The 12,254-nt window shown below is 56.2% G+C and overlaps 1 protein-coding gene across 7 annotated transcripts in view, besides 6 other annotated features; it reads right to left on the bottom strand.

Moving 5' to 3' along the window:
- LHPP (phospholysine phosphohistidine inorganic pyrophosphate phosphatase) overlaps positions 1–12,254 on the bottom strand; it is a 152,319-nt gene that overhangs the window by 78,633 nt on the left and 61,432 nt on the right. For 3 of the 7 annotated variants that reach the window (XM_005270026.4, XM_017016509.2, XM_017016512.2), the window contains one exon: positions 9,245–9,359. The exons of the other annotated variants lie outside the window; for them this stretch is intronic. In XM_005270026.4, the coding sequence (XP_005270083.1) occupies positions 9,245–9,359 (115 nt within the window). The remainder of the gene's footprint in view (positions 1–9,244; positions 9,360–12,254) is intronic. 7 annotated transcript variants of the gene reach the window in all.
- Positions 1,350–1,882: an enhancer, noted in NCBI's record as "H3K4me1 hESC enhancer chr10:126222196-126222728 (GRCh37/hg19 assembly coordinates)". NCBI's record gives its function as "activates a minimal SCP1, AML or CMV promoter by ChIP-STARR-seq in naive H9 embryonic stem cells {active_cell/tissue: H9 hESC(naive)}" and the evidence as "EXISTENCE:reporter gene assay evidence [ECO:0000049][PMID:30033119]".
- Positions 1,883–2,416: an enhancer, noted in NCBI's record as "H3K4me1 hESC enhancer chr10:126221662-126222195 (GRCh37/hg19 assembly coordinates)". NCBI's record gives its function as "activates a minimal SCP1, AML or CMV promoter by ChIP-STARR-seq in naive H9 embryonic stem cells {active_cell/tissue: H9 hESC(naive)}" and the evidence as "EXISTENCE:reporter gene assay evidence [ECO:0000049][PMID:30033119]".
- Positions 5,293–5,412: a silencer, noted in NCBI's record as "silent region_2911". NCBI's record gives its function as "represses an Ori minimal core promoter by ATAC-STARR-seq in GM12878 lymphoblastoid cells {active_cell/tissue: GM12878}" and the evidence as "EXISTENCE:reporter gene assay evidence [ECO:0000049][PMID:35858748]".
- Positions 7,154–7,323: an enhancer, noted in NCBI's record as "experimental_10852 CRE fragment used in MPRA reporter constructs". NCBI's record gives its function as "activates a minimal promoter by MPRAs in K562 erythroleukemia cells, with activity observed for both the introgressed and non-introgressed 10:126216840 or rs11598172 variant alleles {active_cell/tissue: K562}" and the evidence as "EXISTENCE:reporter gene assay evidence [ECO:0000049][PMID:34662402]".
- Position 7,238: a transcriptional cis regulatory region, noted in NCBI's record as "Neanderthal adaptively introgressed variant 10:126216840 (GRCh37/hg19 assembly coordinates) or rs11598172 in the experimental_10852 CRE". NCBI's record gives its function as "modulates activity of the experimental_10852 enhancer by MPRAs in K562 erythroleukemia cells {active_cell/tissue: K562}" and the evidence as "EXISTENCE:reporter gene assay evidence [ECO:0000049][PMID:34662402]".
- Positions 11,804–11,973: an enhancer, noted in NCBI's record as "active region_4166". NCBI's record gives its function as "activates an Ori minimal core promoter by ATAC-STARR-seq in GM12878 lymphoblastoid cells {active_cell/tissue: GM12878}" and the evidence as "EXISTENCE:reporter gene assay evidence [ECO:0000049][PMID:35858748]".

The raw sequence follows: 12,254 nt of genomic DNA, 5'->3' as shown, positions 1-12,254 counted from the left end.
TGCGAGAATCTCATCAGAAGTCGAGGCTGCAGTGAGCTATGATTGCACCACTGCACTCCAGCCTGGGTGACAGAGCAAGACCATGTCTTAAAAATAAAATAAAAGCAAACCACAGGACTAACTTAAAGCTGTGTGGAAACAAATGGAACTGACAGTAACCACCACATGTGGCAGAGTGGTTCAGAGCATAGATGACGGAGTTCGACTCCCAGGGTTCAAAGGCTGTGTGACCTTAGGCAAGTTACTTAACCTCTCTGCAAAGTGAGGACGATGTCAGTTCTCTCTCATACAGGCGTCTGGTGGGTAAACAAGCTCATGGAACAATTTCTGGTGGAGTGGGTCCTGCATCTGTCACTGTTGCGATCAGTGTTTTCCCAACAACCTTAGGAAGAAGACATGTTGCTATCGCCACACACAGTGGCAACGCTGAGGCACAGAGAAGTTAAGTAACCACCTATGGCCACACAATCGAGAGAGGTTTCACCCCTAGGCCACAGCCCGGGTGCCTGCGTGCTGTAACAATAGGCGCCGAGGACCCAGGAAGGAATGTTTCCCATGGCGAAATCTTTCAGATGGAGTCCAGGACACCTGAGAAAATACCAGATTCCATTGCTCTTTCTTTCCCTTTCCTTTCCAGGCCTAGAACTACTTGTAAGGCCTCACTGCTACTTTATACGGTCAGGTCAACAAGATCCTCTCCACCTCGTGTCAGCCAAAGCCACACCACCGACAGCGCCAGCCTGGGGAGCACCCCCCTCGCCGCAGCAGGGCCCCAGCCCGAAGCCCCGAGAGCGCATAGGAACCTGCCAGGCACCGGGCGGGAAGGACGGGCGCTCACAGCGGTCTCGCCTGTCTCCCGGGGGCCTCACTGGGCCTCAGAGCTTCCTGCAAGGCCCCTCACGTGATCCGCTTTTACAGACAGGGAAGGAAGCATGCAGGGGTGAAGTGGCCCAGGCAGGTCAATGGTTAGGTCGTGGGTCTGAGATCTCATCCCCTGCCCTTGACCCCAAAGCCCAGGCCTTTCCCCGGCCCTAGGCCAGGGCTGGTCAGGCTGAGAGCCTCCGGACCTCCCGTCTAAGCCGTCCTCGGCCTCCGACGTGCCGGTGCTGCCCTCTTCCTGCCGTTGGCTCTCTGCAGAGTCACAGATACAGGAGACTAACAAAACAAACTAAAAGACAAGCTACCTGCCCTGCTGCGGTAGAGAAAGACAATCCAGCATCTGCCTCCAGCTGCTGAGCTCCCCAGCACCGGAGGAAAGACGGCCATGCCAAATTCCCGGCATGGGCCGCCAAGCCTATGACATGCAGGGCGTCTTCTCTGCAATTGTGGGTGGCCCATGCAGAGAGACTCTCCTGCGTCACACTCACTTATCACGCCTAGGGCCTCTGAGGGGTTTCCAACACAGCAAAGGGCTCTGCTTTGCCTGGCCCACTGCCCCCAAGCTCCCCACCCCAGGCCCCCTGCATCCCCCGCCCCAATCCCCAAACTCTGCCGTTAGAGCCTGCATGGGCAGGGCATCGACCAGGGCAGATGTGGTCCCTGCCAACCCAATGAGCCTCGACTCATGGGAAAGCCCTGAGCCCCTGTGTCACTCCCTATGCCTCAGCCCCTGCATTCCATATCCCACTGAGTCCTCCTCGCGCACCCCTGAGTCACTCCAGGCACACACTTGGGGTCTGGCCCTGGGCTGGGGCCCTCTGCAGCGTGGGACCCTTCAGGCCACATGGTCTTGTTCATCTCATCACCCTGCACACTGCGGAGCACACGGCAAGTGCCTGCAAAGCTGGGCTGTGTCTTGGATATAGTGCGGGTGGCAGAAGCGGGCCACCTGGGTGAGGACGGGGGGTTTGTCCACTCACACGGGGGTAAGGGAGGACAGAGGCAGGGAAGAGCCATCTCCTCCTCGCCATGCAGTAGGCCTTGACCTTTACTTATTTAAATGAAAAGTCAACGTTTCCAATCAAGCGCCTATCCTTCTGGGAGGGGCTGGTCCCCAAGGCGTGCCACACTCTGTCCGGGTGACACTGACTGCCACAAGGTCATCGGAAGTAAGGGAAGCCTCCAGGCTGTGCTTGGGCAGACGCTCTCCCCTCCCCATCCGAGGACACAAACTTTTGGGTGACATGGTCCATCCAACCCCCCACGCCCCTGCCGCCCCCAACTCTGCACAAAGTGAAGGCAGGAAGCCGCTCTGGGGGGTGCATTTTGCAAATCAGAGCACATGGTCCCTGGGCGAGTTTTCCAAGCCAAGCAGTCTCCCTCAATGGTCTCAGTTTATGGCCCTGTGGTTCTATCCAGAAGTGTTGGCCTGGCTGAATCTGCCCTCAGGAATATCTCAGATGCCTGCAGAGGCCAGGCTGACAACCCCAGGCCGTGATGCACCCAGCATTCCACTCCCATTGCTTCCCTGAACTACCTCCTGCAGCCATGTATTAATGGAGCTCCTGTAATAAAGGTGCTGAGGATACCTGGGAAGTAAGTCCAAAATAAGTCCATTTTACAGATGAGAAAACTGAGGCTCAGTGGTCTTCCTGCCAGCAAGCAGTGGGGCAAAGATTTGAGCCTGGGCTTCTTCTCATTTCCAAAGTACAAGTCCCAGCCCAGTCGAGCACCTGAACATCCCAGAATGCCCCTTCCTCGGGACACTTTGCCACCACATAGCTAATCTTCCATAGGGGCCATAGGGACAGTTGGGACAGACATGCTGGCACTGTCCTGCTACACCCTTACCAGCTGGGTGATGCTGGGTGAGTCTGCAGCTTCCCTGGAAAACAGAGAAGACTTTCTATGCCTACCCAAGAGGCTTGGAAGAGAACCACAAATGCAGAAATGGCCTGGGAAGCTGAAAAGGTTTCTCCCAATAGGGAGGATTGTTGTTATTCAGTTTAACAAACGCAGAGTGTCCACCACAGGCAAGGTCAGGGACTTGGCTCTACATGGGATAGAGCGATAAGCAGATGGAGAGAGAATGAGGAAGCCAGGCTTCTCCCTGCTGTGGAAGGAAGGCATGAACGTGTAAAGGCATGAGGTGAGAAGGAACCCTGTGCTGCTGGACTGGAATCGGAGGCACTGCTGTGAGCTCGGGCTTTTGGGCAGGTCCAGGTGGGTAGGGTAAGCATGGACGCATGTGTGTGTCACACCTGCATACCATGCGCATCTTTCCTACCTCTGTCCACCGCCAGGGCCTGAGCAGCAATGCCCAGAGACAACACAAGCACACCTGGGGCCCTGGGCTGAGATTCTAAACAGTGCCCTCCACTGGAAGGAACTGGGGCTCCTTGGAGAAATGGCCGATTCCAGGGCTGAAGCAAAGACTGAACAAATGAACCTGAAACATCTTTTTGGGCCAAAATGCAAGGAAGGGCTCAAAGAACGGTGAGGATGTGCCGAAAGGTCACAGGGCCAGCCTGAAGGGGCTGCCAGTGCCTGCGTCGGGGACCATCTGAATATCCCAGTGATGACGGTTAACAGACGATAACCCACTGAATTACATAGGAAGCCACGAGCCCACACTGGCATACATCAATCAGTGGAAAGAAGAGAACATCTTTCCTTAAAGTAAAACACCAGGAGTAAATACAAGGAAGAATGATGGAGTTATTTGGCGACCATCATAGAAATCATTCATTCAAACAAGAAATACTAAGGGACACTAAAACTGGCAGATGAAAGTGGGACATCGCATCACCTCAAAGCATCTCCCCACAAATACGTATCAATCACAAAGGGGAAAAACACATTATGTGGTTGCCATTAAACAAGAGGTCAAGGTTAACATCAGCAATATTTGGGCAAACCAACATTACATGCCTATGAGAACAAGCACAGCACCACTTCTAAGCAATGCTAGCCCCAAACGCGTAACTTGGGTTGTATCATGAGAAAACACCACACAAAATGACTGTCTCGTAATCTTCAAAACTGGCAATCTGTGAGAACTGAGGCGAGGACAGGGAAGTGCTCCAGGACGGAGTCCAGAGAGACCAGAGAGAGCTGCCTGGCCCCGGACTGGGTCTTCCCCTCTCTAGAGGAGTTCATGGAATGATTGGCAAAGCTTGAATGGGGTCTGTCTCTGGGAGAAGGGTGTATGGAATTTCTTTCTATTCTGGAAATCTGAAAAATTATTTGAAAATGAGAAGGCTGCGGGAACTCCAGGGAGTGCCAGGTAATTCTTCTGGAGGTGAGACTGTGTTTTGGGTACAACAGAAACGAGCTTGACATGGCAGCCAGCCCACACCCCAGCTTGCACGGGATTAGCACATGACCTTGAGACGGGGTGTGGGGTTGGAGGGCAGCGGATCCCTCAGGCCCTTGCAATTGGGAGGACTCTGGAATTCCATCACCAGGGAAGGCCTTGAGGATATGGCAGGATCCAGGCAGGCCAAAGAAGAGGTGGTGGGACAGGTGAAGGGCGCAGACAGCATGCATAAAGGCTCCAGGTGGGACTGGCAGGAGGGGAGCTTGGCGGGTGGGCGTGTCCTCATCCCAGGGACCTGGCCTCTCCAAACTCGCAGGGAACACTGGGAGGCCCCCAATGCCCAGAGCGTGTTCTTAGGCCTCTCTCTGACAAGGTGCCAGGGAGACAAGAAGGACGGGCTGGTGAGGCTGATGAGGCTACCTTGGCCGCTCTGCCTGCTTCAGGCCCAGGGAATCCAGGGCTGCAGGAGACTCTGATGGTGGCCCTCGGCCCTGTGCGCTGTGGTGTTCTCCATGCTCATCGTCTGCACCCGTGAAGGGTGGCAGAGGAGAGGGTCAGTGTCCTGAGGAATGGGCAGGCTTGTGGAAGCCTGGCTAAAGCAAGCCCGTGGTTCTTGGAGCTGGGGCCCCAGGGCCCCGAGAGGCAGAGGGCACACAGGGCATGGGGGTGGTGCGGCATCTGGGAGGGAATGAGTGGGGTGTGAGCAGGCCCACATGTGTGGCCTGGGGCGTGGGGGGGTCTGGGCGTGAGTGTATGTATATGTGTGTGTGTGTGTGTGTGTGCATGCACTATGAGGCCAGCATGAGAGTGGGCACCTGTGGATGTGTGGCCTGGGCCTGAGAACCTGTGGGGCCTGGCGTGCGCACATGTGGATGCGGGATCGTGTGGGTATGGGGGCCCCTCGTGAGCACACGTGGGCCCGGGTGAGTGTATGTAGCTGTGCGTGCATCGGCCCTGGCTCCAGCAGGCCCGGCCTGTCCCATCCCTGGCAGCAAGGCGCCCTCTTGTGGCCCGAGCAGGTGGCGTGGGGAGGAGGAAATGAGAGTGAACCCTGAGAGGTCCACCAGGCTGGGACGCAGGAGGGGTGGGGCGGGAGGCAGGAGGCGGCAGGCAGGATGCCAGGTGGGCATGCAAGAAGGCCGGATGCACACTGCCCTGGGGGCCTGGGGATCCTTGCTGGCCCCTGCCCACCGCTCCTGGCTTCACCAGGTTCCTCCCTCCCCGCATTGGGGTGTCCTCTCTGATGCAGGGCAGACGGGCTTGGACGGCCTCATGGGATGCATGCGGGTGGCCTGGGCCCTGTGGCAAGGCACCTCTCCAGCCGCCCCCACTTGGGACCACACTGCCAAAGACCAGCATGCCATGTCTGCCCCTCACACCGCATCTGCAGGGCTGATTCCCCACACCCCTTCCCCGCTGGGGCAGCTGGGATCCTGCCCTCCCACAGGCAAAGAGAGTGCGTGGGTGCATGTGCGCATGTGTGTGTGTGTGTGTGTGCGTGTGTGTGTGTGTGTATGTGCATGAGCTGGTGTCTAGGACCCGCATGTGAGTGTGGGATGAAATGAGGCCATCTCTGCATGGCTCCAGGGAGAGGGGATGCTGGGACAGAGTGCAGGGCGTGGCCCCTCGTCCTCCCCCTCACGGATGGCTGTGGCCCAGGATGTTGAGTCTACAGTCATGGAGCCCCTGGCCCTCAGCTCCTGGATTAAACCCTTGGAAAGTGTAGAGCACTCCTCTGCACAAATTTTTGCTCAGTAATGAGGACAGACATGGGGGATGCCACAGTCGGAGAGCAGCCTCAGTGCCACTGACAGGGCTGGCTGGGAGGTTCCTCACCAGGAGGCCTATTTTCAGCAACTTTCACTCACCCATGAGAAGGGGGAGCCCTGGTCAGGTGGGAGCTGTGTGGGCTGCTCGTGAGTGGTGGGTGCATGGGTTGGTTTCTGTTTTTAATAACCCCGCACTTTCAGGTGGTTTTCCTTAAGAATCCCCCAACACCTGTAATCCCAGCACTTTGGGAGGCCGAGGTGGGCAGATCACGAGGTCAGGAGATTGAGACCATCCTGGCTAACACAGTGAAACCCCGTCTCTACTAAAAATACAAAAAAATTAGCTGGGCATGGTAGTGGTGGGTGCCTGTAGTCCCAGCTATTCAGGAGGCTGAGGCAGGAGAATGGCATGAACCCGGGAGGCGGAGCTTACAGTGAGCCGAGATCACACCACTGCACTCCAGCCTGGGCGACAGAGCAAGACTCTGTCTCAAAAAAAAAAAAAAAAAAAAAAAGAATCCCCCAAATTCACAAACCCAGGGCAGGGGCGATTGTGCCATAAAAAATAACTCTTATTCTTACAAAAGTGTTATGTGGTGGCCCCAGGGCCACTCCAGGGGACCAACAGAGCAGAGATCCCTGACGCTGGGAGGCCAGCTGGGCATCAGGAGAGGGGCTTGAACCTCCCTCCCTAGAAGGAAGAACAGCCCTAGAGGGCAGGGGACACCTGCCACATTCACTCGATCCCCCACATCCTCAACAGCGCCTGGCCATAGTAGGTGCTTGGTAAATATCTACGGGGACCAGGGGACTAACAGAGGACAGGGTTGGGCCTCCTCCCGTGGGCAGTGGGGACCATAGAGATTTTAAAGGCAGTGGGGAAGGCCAGGCACTGTGGCTCACGCCTCTAATCCCAGCACTTTAGGAGGCTGAGGTGGGCAGATCACCTGAGGTCAGGAGTTCAAGACCAGCCTGGCCAACATGGCGAAACCCCGTCTCTAGTGGAAATACAAAAATTAGCCGGGTGTGGTGGCAGACATCTGTATTCCCAGCTACTTGGAAGGCTGAGGCAGGAGAATCCCTTGAACCCGGGAGGCGGAGGTTGCAATGAGCCAAGATCGCACCATTGCACTCCAGCCTGGGCAACAGAGCAAGACTCCGTTTCAAAAAAAAATAAAATAATAAATAAATAAATAAAGGCAGTGGGGAAGGTCAAGTCTACCCTAGAAAGCCACCATGACCATGTGGTGGACCACACCCACGGGGTGGACAGAACCCCAGAGTCAGTGTACGTCCCACCAGCCTGGTCTAGCAGGACAGACCAAATGGGAACCGTTAGGGAAATATGCCATACGGGAGCCACCACCATGGCGGGCCCTCACTCTAGGGGCCGAGCTTAACCCTCCCCTGTTCAGCCCACACAGCTGGGGCTCAGCCCCACTTGACACATGAGGAAACCCAGAGCCAAGCAAGGCAAAAAGATCATGCTCAAGCCGGGTAATCCCAGCACTTTGGGAGGCCAAGGCGGGGAGATCACTTGAGCCCAGGAGGCTGGGCAACACAGGGAGACTCCATCTTTATAAAAAATTTAAAAATTAGTTGGGCGTGGTGGCATAAACCTGTTTCCCAGCTATTTGGGAGGCTGAGGCGGGAGAATCACTTGTGCCCAGGAGTTCCAGGCTGCAGTGGGCCATGATGGTGCCACTGCACTCCCACCTAGGAAACAGAACAAGACCGCATCTCAAAAAGAAAAAAACAAAAAAAAAAAAGCACAAAGAGATCACGTCCAAGGTTACATGGTTAGCACGCGGCAGGGGACTGGGTCTCATACCCAGATTCTGGCAGTGCTCTTGGGGTCTCCGGGCAGCTGGACTCCCCCTCTGGAGGGTGGGGCTGGGCTTTTCTGTCTCCCTGCTGCTCTGGTTTCAGCCCCCGGGCTCATGAAAAGTCAGGGAGAGCACCCGGGGCTACCAGGCTGGGCCTGGGCAAAGGGCACCCCAGCCTGGAACTACGTTTGGAGCTGGAGTAGGGGGCCTTGTCCCTGGCTGTCCCCAACCTGAGGACAGTGGAGCTAGAGGAGCACACCGGGTTCACATCCTGGGACCCACCCATGACACAGAGGAACCTGTGCACAAATAAAACCACTGCTGCAAGATGGTTGAAAATAAGAACTGCGTCCAGCTGTGCCTGCAAGGACAGGAGTCAGGGGCCTCTGAGCCCCCTTTCCTTCCTTCTTCACTTTTCCAGGCTGGAAAAGATGTAGCAATCAAAGGGTCAAAAATGCAGATTCCCTGATGCATCAGAACACAGCAGCAATGGTGAATGCTGTGGGGGATGTGCCCTCCCCTGCCCCTGGGCTGTAAGCGCCACCAGCCCTGGCCGTGTCCCCGAGCCGCAGAGCAGCAGCGGAAAGGCAGAGGCCAGCCCTGTGGGCAGCGAGAGGGCTCAGGTGAGACTCCAGGTCTCAGAGGGGCTCTGTGGCGGGCAGGCTCTGGCAGCCCTGGGGGCATCCAGCAGAGCCCAAGTGGCCCAGGTTCATGTTAAGGTTAGAGAACATTTTGGGCAGGTGGCCGGCCTGGCTAGGACGGTGGCCACAGCTCCTGCTGCAAGTTCACTGCGGGCCCCTTCTTCCCCTGCTTGCTGCGGCCTGGCCACGGCTTCCCAGATCTGCCTGGGTCCCCTCCCCACCTCCCCACCACACACTGGAGGGGAAGAGAGCGCTTGGGTTCAGCGGACTTTAACCACAAAGGCAGCAACGATGGGACTTCTGGGGCTGTCACCTGTCACATCTCCGCCAGGCTCTCAGGTGGGTGGGTGGGGTCTAATGACCAACTTCAGGGCCTGCCCTAGGTCAGAAGCCCCCAGAGCCAGGTCCTGCTTATGTCCAGCTCAGCAGCAGGTCGTGTGTGTGTGGAGGGGGCCAAAGCGGGGGAGGGCGGGAGCTGACCAGTCCTGTGAGCCCCCACACTGGCTACTATTGTTTTGTGAGGCCCGGCCCCTGCTCAGAGCTCCAGCAACACTTGGCTAATTGGGGGGTGGCTTGAGAATGTTCAGGGGCACAGGCCTTGGAGTCAGGCAGAGGTGGGTTCGAATCCCGATTCTGACACTGGTAGGCTGTGTGGCCTTGGGCAAGTTACTTCACCTCTCTGAGCTTCCATTTGCAAATCTAAATGGTAGGGGTAAGAAGGCGGGTGGCTTCTCTGGGCTGTTGCAGGGTGTAGACGAGCTGAGGCTGAGTGTGTGTAAGCATGAGCACTGGCCCCGCCATGAGGCATACCTGCGTTATCCCCCTTCCAGCTCCTGGGGAACGCGCTTCAGGGAGTGTCTTGGGAGAAGAGCACGTGTGAGCACCAGGTCCAGAGCACGTGCCTTGCAACACGTGTTGAGCGGCTCTAGGGAGAAGAGAGGGCCCTGCTGACGCTCCCTCAATCCCTGTCCCACCACTCCAGCGCCTTCCAGGACCCTCGAGGGACCTGCACGTTCCCAAGAGGCAAATTCCTGGGGTTGGGAGGCTGCCTACAGGGGTCCTACCTTCTGGGCCAACCCCCAGGCCTTGTGGCCTCACTCTGCAGCCACCTCCCGGCCTCCACCTGGGACCCCCTTCCTCAGCTCAGAGCCCCCCAGCCCTCAGCCCACCGGTTTTCCCACAGGCGGCACCAAGCCCAGCAGGGGGGTTCAGGTTTTAACATCTTTCCCCTCTTGCCCTGGACATGAAGCAGCCTTGCTCAGGAACCAAGAATGCTAATGAGGGTCAGTACCAGAGAGGGTGACTGTTCCCAATCCTGTCTCCCCTGCCCCAGCAGCCAACAGAAGGCAGGAAACCCAGCAGAGGAGGAAGCTGATGCTGCCCCAACCAAAGCCATGGGGGCCACGATGGGGTGTCTGCCCCTGGAAACCCCATGTTCACCTGCTGAGCCATGTGGACCCCACCAGCCTCCTTTCACACACTCGCCTCCGCCTCGGGTCTCCTCCCCACTCTCTCAGGAGGCCCAGCGTCCGGGACTGCCACATGCTGACAATGTCCAGAAACCTCCCAGGACCGTAAACTGGGAAGAACATGGGCCTCCCTCCCAGAACAGCTCGTGATGGTCGGGGCGGGGAGCAACAGGGTCCCCCCGTGGTGGGGGCATAAACCCGTCTGGCCTCATCTGGTCAAGTTGAACATATGCTCCTCCATGACCCAGCACTGCCATCTATCAGCAGATCCGCCCCAGAAGGACTCACGCCCATGTGTCCAGGAGACAAAAACCAGAACATTCCTGGCAGCCAGTGCAGAAGGGCCAAACTGGGACCCACCCAGATGTTCCCTCTGAGGGACGGGCAGAGAGGGGTGTTGGAGCCACAGAGGACACGATGAACAAGCCACAGCTCAACGGTACAGTGTGCGATTCCACTTGGATAAAGGTCAGAGAAGGAAGAGCCAGCGCCATGTTGGAGGGAAGCCAGCCATGTGGGAGAAGAAAGCAGGCCCAGTCACCGCGGCCACTGTGCCCACGGCAAGGCGGGGCCGCCTCTGCAGGACTGGGCATGTCAATCAGGGACTAGGTCTTCTGGGGAGCTGATAGCCTCCTAATTCTTGACCTTAGAGTGTTTGCTTTGTTATTCATTATGCTGTGTATTCAAATTTTATTCACTTCACATCACAATTGTTTAATGGCATATTTTATGTTATATATATTTTACCACAATTTAAAAAAATTTCTTTTTGAGACAAGGTCTTGCTCTGTCACCCAGGCTGAAGTGCAGTGGTATGATCACAGCTCACTGCAGCCTCGTGGACCTCCTGGGTTTAAGAGATCCTCCTGCCTCAGCCTCCCGAGTAGCTGGGACCACAGGTGGGTGTCACCACACCTGGCTAATTTTGATTTTTAATAGAAATGAGGTCTCGCTATGTTGCCCAGGCTGGTCTCAAACTCCTGGGCCAATTTAATTTTTCTAAATTTTTCAAATGAAAGTATGACATAAGGCCAGACACGGTGGCTCATGCCTGTAATCCCAGCACTTTGGGAGGTCAAGGCGGGGGGATCATTTGAGGTCAGGAGTTTGAGACCAGTTTGGCCAACGTGGTGAAACCCCATCTCTACTAAAAATACATAAATTAGTTGGGCATGGTGGTGCGTGGCTATAATCCCAGCTACTTGGGAGGCTGAGGCAGGAGAATCGCTTGAACCTGGGAGGCGGAGGTTGTAGTGAGCCAAGATCATGCTACTGCACTCCAGCCTGGCTGTCAGAGTGAGACTCTGTCTCAAAAAAAAAAAAAAAAAAATGAAAACAAAAGAAAGAAAGTATGACATAAAGTAGATTAGTGATTGTCTGGGGCTGGGTGGAATGTGGGGGGTCTTTGCTAATAATAGCTAAACGATTTGAGGCTTCTTTTTGGGGTGATGAAATGTTATAAAATTGTGGTGACGACTGCACAGCTCTGTGAATGTATGAAAACCACTGAGTTATACAGCGTGGGAGTGATTTCTCAATAAAGCTGTTACCAAAAGAGACAAAAGAAAAAAGTGTACAGGCTTAAATTGGGGTGGGTCCCACTCCGTGTGACCTCAGGTGAGCTAAATGACCCCTCTGAGCCCAGAAGTGCCCACCTACACCAGAAGCCACAGCCTCTATCCCGGGCAGGACCAGAGGGCTGCTGAGAGGATGTCTGGGATTCACGGACTCATTGCACAGTGGATTTTTCCACAGGCCTGTTCCCGGTGCCCTTCCCTGCACTGCCAGGATGAGTACCCGAGGAACTTGGGGTGAGCTCCCAAGCCCAGCACTGGCCCTTTCTCTCCACCGGGGCTGGCTCGGATTGCCCTGGCTGGTCTGTTTACACAGGAGGGCAGCAGGAGGGTCCTGACTCCTGGAAGGCTGACCAGGGCCACCACAGCCTGGACCCCCCTGCTTGCTAGCCACTCACTTTGACATGTGACTGCTGAAAAATTAACACCAGTTTCACTTCCTTCCCTCACACTCCACGTAGCACAGAAGAAAAATCTGTCATGTTCCAAAGCGAATCCACAGCCTTCTCGTAACAGGAAACACTCTGAAATCCGTCACTGCGAAGTCTGGGAAGACCCAGGACAAGCTGCTGCTTTGACGGCAGCCGCTTCCAAGGTCAAAGGCCAGGCGTGGGGGCACTCTCCCTCCCGACGCAGCCAGCTCCACAGCCATGCACCCTGCAGCCCCTCGTCTTCCAGCTTTGTGCAAGGCGGCTGGAATCCTAGATCGGCTGGCCACCCCACTGGGGGGAAACCCCTTCAGCACCCAGGCCACAGCTAGAAGGGACCTTGCAGGAT

Source organism: Homo sapiens, chromosome 10 (assembly GCF_000001405.40).
Source record: "Homo sapiens chromosome 10, GRCh38.p14 Primary Assembly".
Taxonomy (NCBI): domain Eukaryota; kingdom Metazoa; phylum Chordata; class Mammalia; order Primates; family Hominidae; genus Homo; species Homo sapiens.
Note: the sequence above shows the minus strand (reverse complement) of the source record. Positions and strands in the feature narration are given on the sequence as shown.